Source organism: Homo sapiens, chromosome 7, assembly GCF_000001405.40.
Source record: "Homo sapiens chromosome 7, GRCh38.p14 Primary Assembly".
Taxonomy (NCBI): domain Eukaryota; kingdom Metazoa; phylum Chordata; class Mammalia; order Primates; family Hominidae; genus Homo; species Homo sapiens.
Window position 1 is genome coordinate 149,929,347 of NC_000007.14, and position 22,796 is coordinate 149,952,142.

The 22,796-nt window shown below is 46.3% G+C and overlaps 1 protein-coding gene and 1 long non-coding RNA gene across 22 annotated transcripts in view; both read right to left on the reverse strand.

Moving 5' to 3' along the window:
* Positions 1–22,796, reverse strand: part of ACTR3C (actin related protein 3C) — a 442,186-nt gene that overhangs the window by 47,987 nt on the left and 371,403 nt on the right. The window lies entirely within an intron of this gene.
* Positions 1,791–21,199, reverse strand: LOC124901772 (uncharacterized). Its single transcript, XR_007060586.1, has 3 exons — positions 21,189–21,199; positions 16,134–16,136; positions 1,791–2,612 (listed from the first exon to the last, which is right to left on the reverse strand). It is a non-coding gene; the product is annotated as an uncharacterized LOC124901772 (long non-coding RNA).

Below are 22,796 nucleotides of genomic sequence, written 5' to 3' on the forward strand. Positions count from 1 at the left end.
GAACCTGGGAGACAGAGGTTGCACTGAGCAGAGATTGTGCCACTGCACTCCAGCCTAGGAAACAGAACAAGATTCTGTCAAAAAAAAAAAAAAAAAAAAAAAAGAGTCACCAATGGATACTTAAACTAATGGGTGAAAGTTGAAGAATAGAGTACTTACGTAAAATATTTCCCCACAAATGACTTTTTTTTTTTTTTTTTTTTTGAGACGGAGTCTCGCTCTGTCACCAGGCTGGAGTGCAGTGGCCCGATCTCGGCTCACTGCAACCTCCGCCTCTCGGGTTCAAGCGATTCTCCTGAGCAGCCTCCAAAGCAGCTGGGACTACAGGCACGCACCACCACACCCAGCTAATTTTTGTATTTTTAGTAGAGACGGGGTTTCACCATGTTGGCCAGGTTGGTCTCGAACTCCTGCCCTCAGGTGATCCGCCCGCCTCAGCCTCCCAAAGTGCTGGGATTACAGGCATGAGCCACCGCGCCCAGCCAAATGACTTATTAATTACAAAGAAAAATAGTAACTGAACAGTGAAGAAACCTCGTGGACATCACCCTCTCCAAATGATCCAAGTGAACTTCATCAAGAGTGAGGCGCGTCCCTATCTTAAGTCTTTCGATGGGATGCACTAAGAAGGATCAACAGGACTTCTGTGGTAGTCCTGACAAATATGCATATCCTGTATCTATCACAGAGAAACACTAGGTAACAACTGGCTGTCAAAAATGCCAACATCTTGAAAGACAAAAAAAGGTTAAGAAATTATTCCAGATTAAATTAGACTTAAAAGACATGACATCCACCAGATGCAATGTATGCCGCTGATGGGGAGGTCTTTCATGGGTGACATTCCATAAAAGACATGAATCCGTACTGTATGTAGGATACTACTGTATGTATGTTAAATTTTCTGATTTTGATGATTGGAATGTGATTCTAGAAGGGAAAATGTGTCCTCAGAAAGTACGCATTCAAGTATTTTGATATAAAAGGATATGATCTCTGCAACTTACTCTCAAACAGTGCAGGAAAGTAATAATAATATGTATGGACATACAGAGAGTGACAAAGCAAATGTTAACAGTTGGTAAAACTGGAAGAAGAGTATACAGTAGTTTTTTGTTCTCTTCCAGCTTTCAGTAGCAGTTCAGTAGCTTTCAGTAGCTGTTCTCTTCCAGCTTAACTTCTATTTGCCTACCCACCCTCTCCTCAATGCAGCACATACCACGCCTGGTCCCTCTGAGCCACCATATGGTTTCCATTTGTTAATCATCTGACAGGTCAGCAGCCTGAGACCAAGATAAAATGTGGCAACAGGGAAAGATGAATGGTCTGTTCGCTGGTGTTTTCTTGAAGATTGTTTTCATATTGTAGACAGTTGTGGGGGTGCATGGAAAGATTTCCCCCACCAAACTCAGCACATGAGCCCCACACATACTTAAAATTTTTGTATTGTTTTGTTTTGTTTTTTGAGACAGTCACCCAGGCTGGAGTGCAGTGGTGTGATCTCGGTTCACTGCAACCTCTGCCTTTTTATTTTTTTAAGATGGAATCTCACTCTGTCGCTCAGGCTAGAGTGTAGTGATGCAATCTCAGCTCACTGCAACCTCCGCCTCCTGGGTTCAAACAATTCTTCTGCCTCAGCCTCCCAAGTAGCTGGGATTACAGGCACCCGCCACCATGCCTGGCTAATTTTTGTATTTTTAGTAGAGACAGGGTTTCGCCATGTTGGCCAGGCTGGTCTTGAACTCCTGACCTCAGGTGATCCACCTGCCTCAGACTCCCAAATTGCTGGGATTATAGGCATGAGCCACTGAGCCCGGCCATATGAAAACTTTTCTAAACGTACATACTGTGCTCCCACACTGGGGTTTTGGCTTCTGTAGGTCAGGGAGGGTGCCCTGGGTCTGTACAATATTTTCAAAAGTTCTTCGGGGGAGGATTGTTTCTGTATTCCACGCCTCAGTTTACTAGCACTCCCTGCCAGGTGCCCGTCTTTGTCGGTTTCATCCTCCCCTCTTATGATGCACAGTGCTCCCGCAATGCTCCCTTGCAACTCCTGAGCTCTTATCCACTCTCTCATCCTCTGAGAAGGATGGCTCACAGGTGAGATGCAGGGGTGGGCCCTCCAAGATGACCCTTCACAGCCCTCCCTCCCCAAGAATGTCACAGCTCCAGAAGCAGGTTTGCACCCACAGTGACACGCCATGGCTTTGCATTTCCCCCAGCACTAAGGAGCTGCTTCATGGAGCACCTCTGATTGACAAATCTAAAATAGAGAATGAAAGAAAGTGTCAACCTGGAGGAGTTTAATAACGCTGTAATTAAAAGAAGGAAGAAGGGGCCACATCCCAGTGAGGAAGCAGCTCCTTTAAACTATTGAAGAATATATTGTTCTGGGGGTGCCAACAGCAGAAGAAATTTTAATAACAAAAATAAATTGACAAAAAAAAAGGCAGGAGAGGTATTAGTTGGAACAAAACCAAGTATCTTAAAACTGCTCATTTTAAACTGAGTGTTTTATGGTAGGATAAGGAAGCTCCAATATTTTCAAACACAATTTATGTTTAGAAGTTCGAGTCTCCTCTTTCATTCTGAGGAATAAAATACCCAGTTTCCTTTAAAAGTACAAAATGGCTAATTAGAATGATTATAAATCTAACAGTTATATCCACATAAAAACTTGAGCATAACAGTTCATAGCAGCCTCATTCATACCAGCTGAATAGTGAAAACCAGCCAGGAAGTGTCCAGCAACTGATGGATGGATGAACAGTGTGACAGGTGCATACAGTGGAATATTATTGGCCATAAAAAGGAATGGAGTTTAGATATATTCTATAACACGGATGAATCTTGAAAACAGTACCCTCCATGAAAGAAGCCATTCACAAAAGTCCAAATGACTCCATTTATATGACACGGCCAGAGTAGGCAAATCCACAGAGACAGAAAGCAGAGTAGAGGCTGCTGAAGGCTGGGGGAAGGATGAATGGGAAGTGACTGCTAATGGATACGGGATTTCTATTTTGGATGATGAAAATATTCTAAAATTAGACTGGGGTGATGGTTCCACAATTCTCTGAAAATACTAAAAACCATCTAATCATACCCTTTAAAAGGGTAGATTTTATGGTATGTAAATTATACGTCAAGGAAGCAGTAAAACAAACGTCATGGTCAAGATGAAGGACCACATCAAGTCAAACACAACGACAATGTTTTAAACAGGATGGTGGAGATAATCGCACAGTCATTTGCTGGCTCTTTTGGCACTGTTTGAAAAATCATGGAAATGAGACAGAATGTTCAATGTCTTAATTCCTGGAGGAAGGAGGGAGGGAGCGGGGGAGAGAGAGAAAGAGAAGGAGGGGAGTGGAGGGGAGGGGAGGGAAGGGGACAGCAGGGCGAGACAGGGCAGGGCAGGGCAGGGAAGACTCTTAGACCATAGTCAGAACAACCCAGGCACCTATTCTGAGAAGGAAAATACACGATGGCCCAAGACCTGAACCTGAGCAGAGGCCAGACCTTGGGTGCCTGGAAGAGGTTTGGCGGGGCCAGGCAGAACACCACACTTACGGGTGGTAGCCAAACCAGGCATCGAGTGGAGGAAAGGGATGAGGATCTTTGGGGTGTTTCCACTTGGAAGTCCAGGTGGAAGGCTCAGTAGAGAGCGGGCCTGAGCTGAAGCTGAGTGAGACTCTTGTCTCTGAGGACAGCTGGCAGGAAGAAGGCGTGCCCTGTAGTGAGAGGGGCCAAGCACAGGGAGCCATCCTCACTCACACACCTGCACAGTAGTGGCCCAGGTACTTCCCACCCCTATAGCTCCACCCAGCCCCAGAGATCCTGGAACCTTCTCCAGAGGCTAATTAACTTTCCAAACCTGCTCTTATAGGATAAATCACCTCCAAATCCATCTCCCCACCATCCCCATAGGAAAAATAATTTGCTGTATAAGGAAGCATCATTGCACTAGCAAATCTGGCGATCTTATTGATACATCTGCCTCAGTAATCAGGACACTGATGATTTACATTTGAACTACAGTGCGTATACATCTTGCAAATTAGTTTTGAAAAAATTTGAGGGCTAAAAATATTTTTCAGAACAGATATGTCTCTCTAACACATAATTGTGGACTATCTGGTTAAGCCAGCGAATGAAATTGAAGATACTAAAGATAATTAAAGGATGATTTTTAAATAAAAAAGAAACAAAAAACAATTACAACAAAAAGCCATGAGCAAGTAAAATAATTGAAGTACAAACCCCAAACATGAGCAACACACAGATTCTAGGTGTCCAGCTCGACTCAACACTAGCAACACACAGAGTCTGGGTGTTGAGTTCTACTCAACACTAGCAACGCATAAATTCTGGATGTCAAGTTCCATTCAACACTAGCAAGTTCCACTCAACGCTAGTCAGACTCCAGGTGTAGAGTTCCACTCAACACTAGCAACGCATAAATTCTGGGTGTCAAGTTCCATACAACACTAGCAAGTTCCATTCAACACTAGTCAGACTCCAGGTGTAGAGTTCCACTCAACACTAGCAATGATCAGATTCCAGGTGTCAAGTTCGACTCAATGCTAGCAATGCAGATTCCAAGTGTAGAGTTCCACTCGACCCTAGCAATGCACAGATTCCGGTGTTAAGTTCCACTCAATGCCAGCAACGCATAAATTCTGGGTGTCAAGTTCCTTACAGCACTAGCAATGCATGCATTCTGGGTGTCAAGTTCCACACAACACTAGCAAGTTCCACTCAATGCTAGTCAGACTCCAGGTGTAGAGTTCCACTCAACACCAGCAATGATCAGATTCCAGGTGTCAAGTTTGACTCAATGCTAGCAATGCAGATTCCAGGTGTCAAGTTCCACTCGACCCTAGCAATGCACAGATTCCAGGTGTTAAATTCCACTCAATGTTAGCAATGCAGATCCCAGGTGTTGAGCTCCACTCAACACTAGCAACACACAGATTCCAGGTGTCGAGTTTGACTCCGTACCTGCTGGGTGAAGCAAAAGCTCCAGAGTGTGCCAGGCTCTTGGTGCAAGCTGGATTCCAGGGAATACAGAATGGATCCTGGGAAAACTGTAACTGCAGTCTAATTTTATATATTCAAGAGGTTATTCACATTTAATAACTCCTTTTGTAACCCTTAAGTGTATAGAAAAATGAATGTCTATGGAATTGTGGGTTATTCACTTCATAAGAACCAAAGAGTTGAACTTCATCTTTGGATTAGTTTGGTTCCCATTCCCAAGACACTCCTGGTCCACAAGCAGACTGGGGAGCTTATATGGTGAATCTCAGTTCTAGACCAAGGCCTCCCTCCACTCAGATGAGGCCCTGGCCACAGGCTGGTCAGTGCGGGTTCCCGGGCCAACACCAGGCCTCCCACCTCCCATGCTAGCCCTCTGCCCCACACCACGCTGCCTCTGAGTTTCGAGATGAACCCAAGTGCATTTTCCTACTTTATTCTACCCTTTTGGAAGAGGTGAAAAACAAAATATAGATATTTATAATTAAATAAAACCTTCTTTAGAATACATTTTTAACCAGAGTATGTTTGCTAAAATAATTGTTTAGAGATACACCATACTTTTAATTTTCAGATTATTTTGTCACTTGAGTATTTCAACTCAACTGAGACTTAAATGGTTCAACTTGGTTTTCTCTTCCTTCTTCTCATGGAGAAACCAATATTTTCTTATTCTAAGCCTTATCTTATTCTATGGCTTTTCAGGTGACTAAGAAAACAGACTACTTCCCTTTCAGATGACTTCTCTGAGAAGATCTATGATCAACTCAAGCGCTGGTCTTTGACCTGGAAAATTAAATATGATGTCCCACTCTTAGGAAAAAAAGGTAAATCTGAAGCCTAAAGATTTGGCTTCTGTTTCTGTCCTGGTAGCAAAATAAGACTTGAAGCTTCTGAGCCTCCATCTTCTGAAATGTCACACAGCAGAAGAGGGCTGTTCTCTTTGCAAACTCACAGAGGTGTGCTTTCTGCATGTGCTATGAAAAGGTGAACTTGCTCTACACAGGTGTTTTTTTGTTTTGTTTTGTTTTTGAGATGGAGTTTCACTCTTGTCACCCAGGCTGGGGTGCGATGGTATGATCTCGGCTCACTGCAACCTCTGCCTCCTGGGTTCAAGCGATTCTCCCGCCTCAGCCTCCCAAGTAGCTGGGATTACAGGCATGAGCCACCATGCCCAGCTAATTTTTGTATTTTTAGTAGAGACAGGGTTTCACCATGTTGGCCAGGCTGGTCTCAAACTCCTGACCTCACGTGATCCACCTGCCTCAGCCTCCCAAAGTGCTGGGATTACAAAGGTAATGTGTTCTTATCAGCAGCAATCATGTTACCCTAAACATAACACCAAAAGCAAACAAATAAAACCAACAAGGATACAGCTTTATCTGCTGTTGTTTTTATGACCTCTACATTTTTGGATATATCTATTATATAAAACCTTTTCTATTTGAGAAAAGAGAAAGGTGTGGTGCAGTGCTGGACAGCTGCACTTGTGGGAGCCTCCTGACTGCCCCTGAGTAGACCTGCCACTGCTGGTTGTAAAGGAACTGGAATTTTTAATTTGGGAATTGTAGGCACTTAGTTATGCACAGTCACCCCCAAAAGTATGGAAACTTCTTGCTGTCAGCGGTTTTGCATGTTTCTGGCATTCCCTCCCCGCACCTGCCTGGCTGATTATTAAGTCCTCTTCTGACTGTATTAGGATAGTCATTTCATCGCCAAGGTGACAGAACGAGGTAGGTTTAGGATTAACTAACTCTCTGCTAAGCTAGTTTTCAAGTCCCCCATCTCTGTCTTCTGGAAGTGAGTCGAATGTACATATTAGAAACACCAAAGCTTCAATCTAAGCTAAACATTTGGGTATACCGGGTTTGGCTACTGGCTTCTATAACTTTTCCCACCCACTCCTCACCATGCATGAATGAGGGCCAAGCAAGTGATGAAGGGAGCTTCTAAGCGCCACATCCTCTCACGGCCATGTGTCCTCCAGATAACCCAAGTGTCCCATGAGTTGAACTTTCCATGATAGTTGTATACAATGTAGACCACACAAGCACTTCCTGCCCATCCTGCTCATTTTAGCATAGTTTGTTAGGGGAAAATAATTTACTCTACATGATGACTTTAGAAAGCCTGCATTGGGGAAGCACTTCTGGAAACAGGTGACTTTTCAGCACAATAAAACACTGTACTGAATGGCCTGCAGTGGCCTACAAGCAGTTAGTGTTTATCCTTGAGGACTGTGGCTCCATTTATACATGATACTTGACTATTGATTCAGGATGGAGGAACTCAAAGAACACCCAGAAACACCTGGAGGTCCTGGGTTCAAGTCCTATTTTTGCTACTTAGTGTTCTGGATTGGGTAGCCAATTAACCGCTCTATGTCTGATGTATTTTATTTTATTTTTATTTTTATTTTTGAGACAGGATCTTGCTCTGTTGGCCAGGCTGGAGTGCAGTGGTATGATCAGGGCTCACTGCCGCCTTGACCCTGCTGGGATCAAGGGATCCTCCACCTCAGCCTCCCAAGTAGAGGGATACTAAAGGCATGTGCCACCATACCCAGCTAACTTTCTGATTTTTGGTAGAGACGAGATCTCCCTATGTTGCCCAGGCTGGGCTGGAACTCCTGGGCTGAAGAAATCCTCCTGCCTTGGCCTTCCAAAGTGCTGGGATTACAGGTGTGAGACACTGCGACTGGCCATCTGATTTTTTTAATCTGCAATATAGACATATTACCAACTAATAGTGCTGTCGGGAAGATCAGTGTGAATAACCTGTAGAGAAGGACCCTGTATTTGTAGCGCTTTGTGCTACAAATTCTTTATGCCACATGGGCTTTTTAGGCAGTGCCGTGCCTGATGGCTCCCTGACATCTTTGTGCACAAGTTCATGTCTGGGAGGCAGACTGGATGATGTTAGAGGCGGAGGCTTTATTTTTGTTGAGAGGAGAGAGTAATTCTTTGTGTCTCATAAATATTACCTTTTGATTTAAGTCATCTGATCCATTTGATCTGAATAAAAGCAGACAAGATGAAAGACTTCCATTTAAACATTCTGGATTCTTCTGGATTTAATACGTATTTATTTCCTCTTTACTGCTGAAAATCCACCAAAATAACACTAAATGAATAAACAGGTAAAAATCCACAGGAAGAGGAGTGAGAAGAGAGAACAGCAGATCAGACCTAACATTTCAACACCTGTAATCAAAGACAGACCGTGGGTGGGAGAACACTGGCTGGTTTGGTGGAACTGAAGAAACAGGAACCGAAGTACCTGGCGAGGATGAACGCCAAGGAGAGGCCAAGAGAGGTGTCAGGAACCACGGAGCAGGAGCTCGGGGATGGGAGGGTCCGGGTGCGGGGAAGGGCAGAAACCAGGTGAGCAAGTGAATATGCAGGAAGGTTGAAAGTCTGAATAAGGCGCATTCTGATCCCTTCCCTCAGCCCAGGCACCTGGGCAAAAACCCTCCTCCAGTAACACACGAGATGGGAGGTTGACTCTCTGGAGGAACTGAACCTAAGGTATTCAGGTCTCAGAGACTCCAGTCCCAGCGGGGAATGGGAGGAGGCTCTGAGTTGAAGATGGGACAGTGTGCAAGTGCTTGCATGGAAGAGTGAGACACCCTTCCCAGCCTCCTCCTCCCGACCCGTGTTCTAGAGCAGCAGCAGCCCAGCTATCTTCCCTGGGCAAGAGGTTGAGGGATTCCGCCCTGGGAAAATGAGGGGGCTCCAGAGAAAAGTCCATCAAATAGGAGAGTCCTCAGTTTAAAAGCTGACTCGCTGCTTAATCACAGTAACACCTGCTAGTGGACAAGCTCTACTCTCAGCCCCCAAAATTCTATTCAGCTTTTATTATTCTACTGAGACAGACAGATACCACCAGACCTTTGAGGAATGTTGTTTCATAAAGACAGAGACTAAATGAATAAACGTTTAAAATTACAAAATAGAGAAAATGCAGAGAGAAAAAGAATTCAAAAAGAACAAAATCTGTTTCTTAGGAATAGCCTCAAAATATAGTAATGTTTTGCATTCAGAAATTTAGGAGATTTTTTTTAAAAAAGGAAGAAACAGGACAAGAGACCTTAGCAATTAAATGAATGGTAGCCAAATTTACAGCCAATAGACAGGCTGAAAAATAAAGGTGAGGAAACCCCCCAGAATGCAGAATTAAAATAAATGGAAAAAAGAAATTTTAAAAATTAGAATATCCATCCAGATTATTCAATTCCATGAACTCTGAGAAAAGAAAATGGGGGTTGGGTAGTTATTGAGATAGAAGAACCCCTCCAAGATCTGAAAGCTCTAGGTCTCTAAATTAATAGTCTTTGTATACAAAAAGAGAACGTAATATTGTACCTCTTGTTCAGCAACAATGCAATCATCTCATATTGGTTTAACCAAAATTGAAACATAATTATATGGGAGTATGGGGGAAGGTGAAATTGGGTGAAAAGTAATACGGAAGAGTTAATCTTCATCTATTACAGTAGGAAAGCAATGCATAATATCTAAATAAATAAGTATAAATATATATGTATATATAAATATATGTATATATATAAAAATATATTATATACATATATATGTATATAATATATTTTTTGAGATAGAGTTGTGTTCTTGTTGCCCAGGCTGGAGTGCAATGGCGCGATCTCAGCTCACCGCAACCTCCGCCTCCCGGGTTCAAGCCATTCTCCTGCCTCAGACTCCTGAGTAGTTGGGATTACAGGCATGTGCCACCACGCCCAGCTAATTTTGCATTTTTAGTAGAGACGGAATTTCTCCATGTTGGTCAGGCTGGTCTCGAACTCCCGACCTCAGGTGATTCACCTGCCTCGGCCTCCCAAAGTGCTGGGATTACAGGCATGAGCCACCGCACCCGGCCCAAATAAGTACAAATATTTAAGCATGTTATGGAGAAATATTAAAGTAGTTGTTGGTAAGAAATAGCAAAAATCATTGAACATATTAGCAATTGGGGAGCAAGGCCAGAGTTCAGGAGGAGAGAGGCAGGGGACTACTGTTTTTGTCAATATGAGCCAATAAAAGTCAGTGTTACCCACGTTGTGCATACATTACTTTGAAAAAGACAATGAAAAGCAAACACGAAGCACAAGACAACTAGAGAATGACTTCCCGTTCTCAGGGAGTTCTTCCTCTGAAGTCTCTGCCAGGCTAAGAGACAGAAGCTGGGAAGGGACCTGTGCTGGGCTCCTGGCTTTCCATACTTTCGAGTTTCCTCAGCAAAGTTGGAGAGGCAGACTGTGCAGCAGATACCTCACTGGGTTATCACTATCTGATTCCTTCTTTTCTCTTGGCTCTGAAATTTTAGATAAGGATGTGTCACATATGTGAGATACAAAAACCTGTGTGCCCTTCAGTATCGTGACTCCGCAATACAGCAAGTAGAAATGTTCAGAATAACCAAAATGTGAACACCTTAAGCAAATCTTCCATTTGAAAGAACCTCACACATCAGGATTTAATTATCCCAGTGAGGGTATATCTTTTAAATTAAATTGCTCTCCCAAAATTATAAAGCTAACCTGTTCTTCCCCACCAGGGAAACAATGTAATGCTGTACAAAAAATAGCACCAATACACACCTCCCCACCCACCAATGGGGCACATGTTTGCTTAAACTGCTTTTCCCATAGGAACAAATTTATTATATTACTCTGGTCTCCTTTGGCTAAATTTTAATATAGACACAATTCTTCAACATTCATGGGTTATCTATCTACCTACCTACCTACCTATCTATACCTCCATTAAATTCAAGGTCTAAATCTGATCAGGAAGCTAAACTATACCTGGTTTGGTCAACTTGTTAAGAGGTATTGATCAGGAAAGACATTTTATTAAACAAGGAAGCAATTAAGCAATTATATGTGTTTGTCTGTGAATTTTGTATGATGCATTTGAAATTTACTTTCTATGAAGATTATGTAGCCTGCTGCCTGAATTTTTCTTCTGATCACATCTTACCAAAGAGGGCCAGCTATATCCAATAAAGATCAACTCCACTTACTTAATGGTCCCTCTAGTCTCAACCACTAGTATTGATCATTCCTGAGACTGCTGGCAACAGTCTAAAAGAGATTTGTATTTTGGGAGAGGGTATATTAATGTTTCCCTGGTCAGGGCTGCCCCTATAGTACTCTGGGCCTGGCCAAATACTTTTTTCAAAACTCCTGTTTAAAAAGCAATTTGAGTCATCCAAAATGAACAGGCCAGCACTGTTCTGGGACCCAGTCTCACAGCATCCTGCCAAAGAAATACCATGCCGGCCTGCAAAAGAGATGAGCTCACCTCCCCACTCTCCTAGGATTGGTGCCTATCTGGCCACAGGGCCTCGGGATGACCCTGTAGGTGCAAGTCCCAGAGCTCCTCAGGGCATCTGGTTGACTCATGCATGGGGCGGGTGGGTAGAGGGTTGGAGAACATCCAAGAGGGGAAGACAAGCTGGGCTCAGGGGTCCTGCTCAGATGGCTCTGTGAGCCAGGCCACACACAGGCATTGGAGCTTAGAACTCTGAAGGAAGGCACTGCCAGGCCTGGGGCCCCTTAAGTCTAAGGATGACACCATCCTTGGTTTTCTAAGACAACCATTGGGAGTACACAATAAACATACTACCTTGACAATATTTAAGTGAACATTTAAAGCCACGACCTTCTGTCCCCTGGGCTCAGAGGCTGAGAGCTGAGGTTGACTGGACATACAGATTATACACAACCCAGCAACAGTGGGGCAAGGGCCAGCCGTCTGAGAGAAGGGATGTCTTCAGGGATCAGACACATTCTGAAACTTATAGGTTCCTGGCATATAAATGGAAGTTTACACTCACTGCAATCATGATTACGTTTTCAGAAGAAAATGCTGACCAGTTTCTACGTAGGAACTGTTCTCCTGGCACAAGGTTACTAGACCATCAGACCAATTTCTCAGCAGTTCTGTAACTCAAGTGCTTATGGCTTCTATCTCTGGACACACAGCTACTCACTCCCAGAACTGGAGTGTAGTATTGGAAGGCTAACAGTTTAGAGTGGTAGGTATTACCTCTGTGGCCTGGACCCTAATTTAACAGATGCAGCCTCTGACCTGCCTGTCTCTGCAGGGAGGGATGCTTGTTTAACCCCTTAGCTCCTGACTATTTCTCTGAAGAACTCAGCCACATAACCGAGTTCAGGGAAAGGCACCTGCAGGCTCTACCTAGCAACCTCCTGATCCTGTCCCTCCCCATGTCTATCATATGCAGGTGGGGACAAGGTTCTAAACCCTTACCCAATGCCCAGGACATGCTTTGGATCCCCACTGGGATGGGAAACACAGGCACCTAGGGGAAGGGCTAATGAGATGGGAGGACACCCAAGACCTTCCCTGCTCCATGGTGTCTCTCAAGAGGAACCTTCTAATGAGAATGGTATTGCGACCCTAGGAACTTGGACGAAGCCCTGCCTATGGAAAACCAATCAGGCAAGGATCGAGGGATTGTAAATACCCAAGGACACTGTGCCCACAGCCCAGGGCTGCCCAGCCCACCTCCTGAGCATTTTGGTTCAGCTGTTGGCAGTTCAGAGAGAGCAGCTGTGCAGCCTAAATTGTCCCCAAAATGGCATCTGTCTCTCTGCCCTGGCTCTGCAGAGGGCCTGAGCCACACAGGCTCTCACCATTCGTGAGCTCGAATACTCCTTCAAAGGAGATCCTGAGCTTTGGTGTGTGTGCAGGTGTGTGTGCGTGCATGTGTGTGTGTGTACATACATGTATGCAGTATGAGTAAAGTTCTTTTAAAAAGAAATCTCATACATTCTATGGCCATTTCTTAGGAGATATTTGAAAGTGGGGAAATCACATAAATCACATCACCTTAGACTTCAGTCAATCTAGCTCTAAAATGGGCTTCAACTAGAAGAATTCTTGGGTTCCATCTATGGTTTTGTTCTGTAAACTTCAAAAACAATGTGGTAATACTGTGAACAGGCTTCAGGGGTTCAAATGGGAGTAAATTGGTGGGCTGTTTTTTCTGTTTCTTGGATTGCATCAGTAATATTTTACTGAAAGCATCAGTTTGCTTTGTAGAAGATCTGATGTGGGAAAGGTGGGAAGGAGTGGATGGGTTTCATCAAGATCCCAGGCAGCTGAATTATCATTATTATTGTCCAGAGATCCCTTAAGCTCGAACATCACACAAACACACACAAAAGGTTAGCACCCATCAGTAACATGCAGAATTGAATACATTCTACAAAGCTTTACAGTCAGAGGAATGGCCCTGGTTCTCAGTTCAAAATGATTTCAGTGAAAATATCCCAGCGAAGTATGGAATATTTCCACAATATAAGGAATAGTTCCCCTAGACCTTTTCTTCTTGGTCATAGTTACCACCCTTCTCTTGGATCACCAACAAATATAGCAATGGCAGCCGCCAACTCTGGACTTTTCCTGCTGCCTGAAGTCAGCTAATAGGTCATTTCCCTGTCACCTCCTGGCTGATGGGAATTGAAGGAACAATTATGTTTCACATGCTTGGGCTGATCGACGAACAAATCATCAGCTGCTAATTGAACTATGGCTAAAACTCTAAATGCTCTAACCAAAGATACTGTTGGTGTCATTGGGTTTGAGAGTTTGCCACCCACGGCTGGAGCCCCTGCTTCTGAGCTCCACTTCAGGCTACACAATGGCGGGAGTCAGCAAACTATGGCCCCGGGGCCTGCTGTTTTGTAAATAAAGTTTTATTGGTACACAGTCACACCCGTTCATCTATGTGTTGACTATTGCTTCAGGTAAAAGGAGAGTTGAGTAGTTGATACAAAAACTGTAGGTCCTGGAAAGCCTAAAATATTTACTATTTGACCCTTGATGTAGAATTTTGCTGACCCCTGCTCTGGGGATGGCTGCTGAGCACTTACTGTGGTCAGAAAATGACCAGCAGAGGGTGGACCTGCAGGTGTATTGGCTGTCAGCTGTGGCCATTTCAGAAGCACCCATCTTTATCAATGGATGTGAAATGGCTGATTTAACAAGTGCCTTTTATCTAAAAGTAATAAGGCCAGGCTCAGTGACTCACTACTGTAATCCCAGCATATTGGGAGGCCGAGGCGGGCAGATCGCCTGAGATCAGGAGTTTGAGACCAGCCTGACCAACATGGTGAAACCCGGTCTCTACTAAAAATACAAAAAATTAGCTGGGCATGGTGGTGCATACCTGTAATCCCTGCTACTTAGGAGGCTTGAACCTAGGAAGCAGAGGTTGCAGTGAGCCGAGATCCCGCCATTGCACTCCAGCCTGGGCAAGCAAAACTCCATCTTAAAATAAAATAAAGTAAAAGTAACAACTCTCCTCTTGTATAAGCGGCAGGGAGTTGAGATCACTTACTTTGTTTTCTATAATCCCAGAGTAAAAGTTCACTTGATCCAGAAGGCAGACTCGTTCAAAGACTAACATCAGGGCCACAAAAGCTGCAATTGCGGCCATCACATTAATTTTTAGGCAGGCCACTTCATCAGGTTTTATGCTTTTTATGTACACTGAAAACTTAGCTTGGCTTGTCCAGCCATGGGACTGTCAGGTAAAGAATGCTTGTAATTATGTACGTAACAGGGAGTTTATCTGTTGGGTGGACATTTGGGCAGGTACTTGCAGTCTTCCAACTCTGGCAAGTCAAGGGCTTGTTTCTGATTGGAAAGCCGATTCAGCCAGTGTGTGCTGCTTACTGGATTTCTTGTGTGTTCAGGAAAATGCTGTAGCTACAGAGTCCCCCATCCTCTAGCTGTGGATCAGGTCCCATGCTCCTGGGTTTCTGGTCCTGGATTACCTGAGCTATGTGATCACAAATGAATCCCTTATTCTTATAGATGAGGGAACTGAAGTTAAGAGGTTTTGCCGGAACTAAGTGAACCCTAAGGTTACCTCCTGATAATGTTCTAATCCCAGAATGGATTGGCCTGAAATATCAGCCAATGACATAAATTTGCTAAACTCCTAAGAAATATTTTCCATACAAGAGGCATCTCAGTCTAGCATTGCAGCGGGCATAAAACTCAACACAAGAATACCAAGGTTATGGACTGAGGCCTGCTCTGTAGGTGCTCACAGTCTTGGGAAGAGTCAGGCTGGGAGACAGAGGGTCCAGAGAGCACCTGTTCTCTCCATCCTGATGGTAACATGCAATGTGAAGATACACCAGTTAGATTAGCTGCTGGTCGCACCCCATCCCTGTACCCCTGGTTCATGTGCTGGACAGGCAGCAGCTGCCTCCTGTGAAAAAATTATGTCTCCTCCTTCACCTGCTCTCTTCCATGTGGCAAGCCTACCCCACTGCTTTCTCTGTCACTGTCCTGTAGCCAGCACCTCCAGCAACCCCTTTATCTCACTTACACCTAAGAAAAGTCTCTCCAAACTACTGTAATGTGACATCTAGGATGCACCAAGGCATAAAAGAGTCCAACAGTGTGGTTTCTGTGGAGAACCCCAGGCTAAGGTCAAAGAACAGGGTATAGAGAGGTGAAAGATGAAGGCAGGAAAGAAAGGCCGTGCCAGGCCATGCAATGTGTCGTGTGCCAAACTCAAATGTGTGGGGTTGATCTCGTGGGCAGGTGATGCTCAAAGGTGATGGAAAAGCCTCTTTAAAAGCATGCCTGCCTCCTCAGCCCCAGGGAAATGTTGTTGTTGCCTTAGGTCAGGTTCCCCAGAAGCAGAGGCTGAGGCGGGGCTGTGGGGATTATTGGGGAGCATGATGTTAATAGGAGGAGGGAGGGAAGCGGCCTGGGGCAGGGGAGACAGGAGGCACTGATGTGGTCCCAACTGGAGACCAGCTGCAGTCGAATGCCATCTGGAAGTGAAAGCATGCAATGCACTTCACAGCTGGTCCCTGAGGGAGGGCAAGGGGATGGCTATGTGTGTACCTGCCTCCATCAGTGACAACCTCCCAGCAAGGGAGGTCTGGGTGAGCACCAAGAGCCGTCACTGCTACTGTCTGCTTCCCGTCGAACACAACTGGAAGCATTGATGGCGGGGCATTGCCTGTGTGAACCGTGTCGAGACCAAAATGCTTTCTAAGAAGTGACAGTATTGCCAGTCACAGGCTTACAAGCGCAGGAATGCAGTGACAAAATCAGATCAGTGCTGAGGAGGCTCTGGGGACAGGGTGAAGGGCAGTCCAGGAACAGAAAGCCCGCAGCTCAGAGACCAGCCAGGGGCTGCTGAGAAGGTCTAGGGAGGAGGTGACCTGGATGGATGGGGGAGGCCTGGGGCAAGCATCCTGGGGCGGGCAGAAGCAATCAGGTGCCCCAGGTCTAATGCCGGCAGGTGGGACACATGTTGGCAGCTTCCATGGAAGAAGCCTCTACTGAAAACCACATCGGGTTCTGGGGAAGCACTGGGGAGGCCATCGTCTGAGCTTTAGGGACAACCTTGCTATGCACGGACAGTGGTAGTCAGTCCGCTGTAGGAATCTAGGGGTTAGATGACAGTCTACAGATCTGGACCCATTGCAGACAAGATCACGGAGTCCCGGCAGGAAGCAGCTATCTGGGAACAGGTGTGGAGGAGGGAGACAGGCGACCTTGCCAGCCTCTCTCCTGGCCTTTAAGAGGAGAATGGGGAGGAAGAGCCTCCAGAGAGGCCCAAGCGAGTGAATCATGGGGGGGAAAGCACTTTGGTGGATTCTCCCAACTTGAATCACCAGGTTCCTGACACTTTGCTCAGAGTCCGCGTCTGCATGAATAAATGTAGATATGAAAGGGGATGACATGGAGGACCTGGCCTGGGCCAGCGCTCCAGGAATCAGGACTGTGCAGCCGCTCTCAGGCCTGGGAATGGAGAGAACCCAGACATCGCAGGTGCTTACTGGAAGCCATCCTAGGTGAAATTCTCTCTTCTCCCTCGTGCTGAGACCATAAGATGCCCATTCTTTGGAGACTTGGCAAATATGAGCTCAGACTGACCCTCCAGTCCTTCTGCAGATGTGCCCTCGGGCCTTTCTTTCCTAGGGCTGACTTGGCAATCTCACACAGCAAACAATTCCCCTTTTGCTCTGTTTTTCAGTATATCCTCCCAGAAAAAGCCACGTCTCCACGGAGCCCTGGTATTTGGTCCCAGAGGTCAGCAGGTTGGCAGGCGAGTCCCCCTGTTCTCCCAGGATTGGTTTCCCCCATCCTTGGCTGTTTCCAGGGCTTCCTCTGTAAGTCAAGGTGGGTGCCCAAGTGCTGAGGGCAAGTGGGGGGCCTTGCCAAATGAGAGAGGGAGCTCTCAAAAGTTCTGTTTATTTCCTGTTTATGGACTAAATTTTTAAGTTCCAAATTGAAGGTGAAATGTCCAAATGGCACATTCTTTTTTTCTTAGAACAGCAAAACAAAAGCAAACCTCTAAACCTCCCCGTGAAGGTGACATCATAATAAGGCATCAGAATCCCACTGTGATCCCTTCTCTGGACAGTTTGCTGTAGTTTCAAGCGATGCTGGGGAAAGAAACCGCATTGGTTCTGCTTGCTAATCATTACAACACCACGAATCAAATCATATTGTAACAATGAGAAAAAAAGAGCCGCCTTCCCCCAATGAGCTTGTGTGGGAAGCAGTGTATCTGCCTGCTGGAACTTTCCCGGTGGTCTGAGCTGCCCATGCCGGGGGCGGTGGAGGGTACCACTGGAGCGGGGGGTACCACGGTGGGGAGTGTCCACAATCCCGGCTTCCCCATGTCCTACACATCACTGAGTCAGTGGCAGCCACTGCTCCGTCTTCTCTTCATCCCAGAACTTCCCCTATAACATTTGGGATTCCTATCCTAGCAGTTAAATTGTTGTTTTCCAGTTCTCTATAATCTTTTCTGTTTCTTCTTCATCCATCCATTTCCTTCCAAATGCCAGAAGCATGATCAAGTCTTAAATATGACTTTTTTATAATCCTGCTATGCACAGGGCCTAAAATGCTCTCGGTGGGGAGCCCCCCAAGAAGAGCAGTTCAGAATCCCCAGAGCTATTTAAGTTTTGCAATCATGTTGGTAAACAGGTGGGCCCTCCCCAACAGCACACTTCTGAGGTGCCATTCATCATCCCACTCACATCCTCCTATGCTGGGGGACCAGCTCCAGATGTTGCACCAGATGGAGCTTCGGAGGGAAGGAATCTCACTGCAATTCCCCATCCAGCAGCCAGAAGGCAGGGCAGGGCTTGAAACAACAGGCCCAGAGCCAAGCATCCTGGAGGGCTTCGCTAGGTGCTTGGGCAGCCTCTGGGGCGTGGGGCTGGGGCAGCGTGTGCAGGATGAGTGGGGTGGGTAGGTTTTGAGATGGAGCTGACAGCTGGAGCCTGTGTTCCTTCACTGTAAAGGCACTGCAATTGTTCTGCTGATGCGGTGCAGCTATCCTGGGGGTTCACGGACTGCAGGGGAATGGCCATTGGAGGGATGAAGCTCCCTTTGGACAGAGCTGTGAGGTTTCTGCCCAGTATAGGTCTGCTGGAGATACTGCACCATACTCATCGTGCTCTGCCTCCTGCTTTCTAGCTAAATCCCCATCTGCTACAGGCATCTATTTCCTCGTGTCAATGTTATACACACGTAAGCACACAGAGCAGCCAGGATGATGGTGCAAACCCACATCACTTGTATCATCCTGATTTCCTTATATTGACCCACATGGTGGCTGCACTGTCCCCCAGAAGCAGCCCCTGCTTCAGTCACAGGGCATTCTCAGCAGGCGTGAGAACAGCTAATACATGCTTGCAATAAGAGCGATGGGGATGAGGCATTTTGGAAGCATTTTAAATTCCTAGCCTAAAAATAGCACGTGTCTTTTAATGACATTTGAAATTTCAAATAAATTAAATATCACTGCTTCAGAAAATTAAAGCCTTCTAGTAGTGAGCAGGCTGTGAGCATCACAGGTGACAGACGTGGCCATGCCAGGAGAGTGCCCACTGCAGCATGGGCACAGGGCAAGCTCTGGGGGTCTCTGGATCCCTGAATTCTCCTTGTGACCTCTGTGCCTGCTCACCTCATCGCTCCACTTTCCAGAAGAGGCAGGTGGGACTTGGGACAAATCCTGTGCACACGGTCACACGTCAGAAAGCAGCAGAGCCTGCGCGGAACACCTCCCGGTTCCCTCAGGGCAGGCTCTGCCTTCCTGCCCCACCCTCTCCATCCCAGCCCTCCAGTCCAGGCCCGCTGGCTGGAACGTTGGCCAGCAAACATGTGCAGAGAGTCTGAGGCTGACCCCATGGTCCCTCACCGTCCCCGGGCAGTTGCTGGTGTCAGGTGTGAGTCAGACGGGGGACCTCCCATTACTCCCCAGGCCTTGCTCAGTGGATTTGAAGGAGGTGACTCCCTTCAGACTTTGCGGGCCACAGCCTCAGGCAAGCCATGGCTCACTAAAATTTCATGAGTAGCCATAGGACCTCAGCTACCAGGACACCTTCACGGTCCGCTCTGGCTCCTAAAATTCATGGAGTGCTGGTCTCGGACGTGATCCACCTGGGACAAGTGTGATCGGGAGTGGGAGGTAAAGGGAATAACTGTGAGGTTTGGGTTCATTTAGGAAAGATAAGCTTGGGCTATCGAAAGCACTGCTTTTGTTTCCTTCATTTAAACATCAAAACTATTTCATGTGCTGTAAAAAAAATCAAATACAGAAATTAATAGGCCAGGTGCTGCAGCTCACACTTGTAATCCCAGCACTTTGGGAGGCTGAGGCAGGCGGATCACCTGAAATCAGGAGTTCAAGACCAGCCTGGCCAACATGGTGAAACCCTTTCTCTATTAAATATATATATATATAGGTATGTGTTTGTGTGTGTATATACATATATACACACACACACACACACACACAAATTAGCTGGGTATAGTGGTGGATGCCTGTAATCCCAGCTACTCAGGAGGCTGAGGCAGGAGAATCACTTGTACCTGGGAGACGGAGGTTGCAGTGAGCTGAGATTGCACCATTGCACTCCAGTTTGAGCGAGAGTAAGACTCCGACAGAAAAGAAAGGAAGGAAGGAGGGAAGGAAGGAAGGAAGGAAGGAAGGAAGGAAGGAAATGAATAAAGTGAAAGTAAAACCTCCCCCACCCAACCTACAGGAAAGTGGTTAACAATGAACAGTTTGATAGATTCCATTGAGACTTTTGCCTTTAGTCTTATGTTCACGCATGTATTCATCCACAGGAAGACAAAGAAAAGATGGACGAGAGAATGAGAACTGGGCAGGAAGGAAGTGAGCTAGTGAAGGTCACAGAGAGAGGAGTGAGAACCATGGAGACCCTTCTGACCTCTCACTTTTGCCTGGGACCCCAGGACCAATCCTGTGTTATTTTGGATGCTTCCTGCAAAGAAAAGCCAAGATTTCATGAGGATGGAAGCAGAGTACAATGTTCTGGCCTTTAGTGGATTCCCTGTTTTTTCAGACAGGAGAAATGACAAACAAAGGCAAGGAAATGAAATGATCGCACAATCTGTGCAGGAGGGTTTTCTTTTTTCCTACTTGAATCACCCCAGCTAGGTGGAGACAAGAGAAATCTGCCCAAGCACAATCAGACAGATATGGCCCCTGCAAAGCAGACCCAGTCGCACTGGGCAATGAAGCGAGTGCACTCCCTGGACAGGGAGGAAGTGCACCCACGGGAGCAGGGAGGAAGTGCACCCAGGGGAGCAGGGCCCTGCCTGGCAGCCGCGTGGCTTGCTCCCTCCACCCCACTCCCCACTCCCTGTATTTTATAGTGTGTTAGGTCGTTGCCCTTTAAACTGTCTTTCTCCGACACAAGTGCCTTCTGTCCCTTGTCTACCAAGCATATTTATATGAATAATGCAGGCCAAATATAGAGGTGACATAACATTCTTAAACGTGGTCATTTGCTGATGGCAACATGAGTCTGAGCCAGACAATTGCCCTCCAGTGTATTTCACAAGCCTGCAGGGAGCACCTGCTGGAGAAGGGGCAGTTGGCCAGCTGCTGCGAGACGGGGGGAGGGAGGGAAAGAATCAGCGAGGGTTGGTTGCCAGACTCACTGTCCCAGGAGGACACACATATGTAAGAATCTCCAGCTAAAGCAATCTTTAAAACATTTTGTTAGGTATCAGGGTACACAGGAAGTGCTGTGGGATCTATTTTGGTTCCAGGAAATGGGGGATGGCTTCACGAAAAACCAAAGGACATGGTGTTTCAGTTGGCCCCTGAACCACACGTCCTCCTGATACATCATAGAGGCAATCCCACAGAGACACAAAGTCAGGAGAACATGTGGCAGTTTTGGAGAGGGTGCTTGTAGAAGAAGTGGAGAGACAGGTAGCAGAAGGCTGGGAGGAGGGATGGGGTGGGCCCCTGGAAAGGTGAAGGCCCCAGATCGGAGGCAGAGGCTTCTCAGAGCGTGACTTTCAGAAGTTTGCTGCTGGGTGATACCTGGTCGTCACTTTGTGGCTGTAGATACTGGGTCCTCAATATTCACATGTAAGACAGACACCACATTCCTTACGTCCCTCTTATCACCTAGCCTAGCTCCAAATACCTACACACTTGACTTCTCTGAAAGAAAAAATGTTCAAGGAGGATTCTGTAACCTGTTGTTTCCCTAATATTTTGCTTCTGTATGGATGTTCCAACAGATTTCACCCGGTGGCATTTCCACTCATCTGTATGGGAGAGCCCTCTGTATATGCGGGACTCCCCTTCCTCTTCCTTCAATTCTGTATTTTCAATATGCATTGGGTGGACCCTTGCAGTTCAGGCCCATATTGTTCGAGGCGCAACTGTGTTTCATGAGGAGCAGGGTGGGAACTTGCGAAGATCAGCTGCACCGTTAGCCAAACCGCTGTCTGCGATGCCCCAGCTGCAGAGCCAGGCCCCCTACTCCACCTCCGTAGCTGGCACCCTCCTTGCTCCGCAGGGATGTAAACACTGACACATTCACTCTCCATTTCAATGTGACAAAATCCTATAAACCTACCAGTGTAAGACAATGCAAATGCATTATCTTCCAGTTCCAGTGGGTCAGAAGTCCAGGCTCAGCTTAATCGGACTCACAGCTCAGGGACCCAAGAGTTTGGCTGGGCTATATTTCTTTCTTGGGCTTAGAGTCCTCCTCCAAGCTCAGTGGCTGTTAGAACTCAGGGCCCTGTGGTGGTAGGACTCGGGTCTTTCTTTCCTTTTAGCTCTCAGCTAGAGGCACCTGCAGTTCTTTACATGTGGCCCCCAGGCAGTTCATGACAAGGAGGTCTGCTTTCCTAGAGGCCATCCAAAGTCTCTCTAGCCGCCTCCTCTGTGACTAGCTGTAGGGGTCTTTCTAAAAGCAAGGCTCATGTGTTTAAATAGGCCCACCCAGATTATCTCCCCATTTGAATGGCAACTGATCCAGGACCTTAATTATAACCAAATCCCATTGCAGCAGCACTGAAATCAGTGCTTGAGTAAACAACTGGCAGATGGTGTGTAGGCGCCAGGGCCAAGTGAGCATTTTGGGAGGCATCTTAGAATTGTGCCCAGCAGAACTGGTGACTGCATCAGCCTAAGTGGATTAGTCTGCTTGGCTGCCATAACTGGGAGTCTTAACAGAAATTTAACTTCTCACAGTTCTGGGGCCTGGAAATCCAAGGTCAAGGTGCTGGAGGGGTTGTTTTCTGGTGAGGGCTCTCTTCCCGGTTTGCAGACAGCCTTCTCCTCACCATGTCTTCACAGGGCAGAGAGAGCAAGCTCCGCTGTCTCTTCCTCTTCTTATAAGGATGTCAGTTTTGTTGGATTAGGGCCCCATCCTTATGACA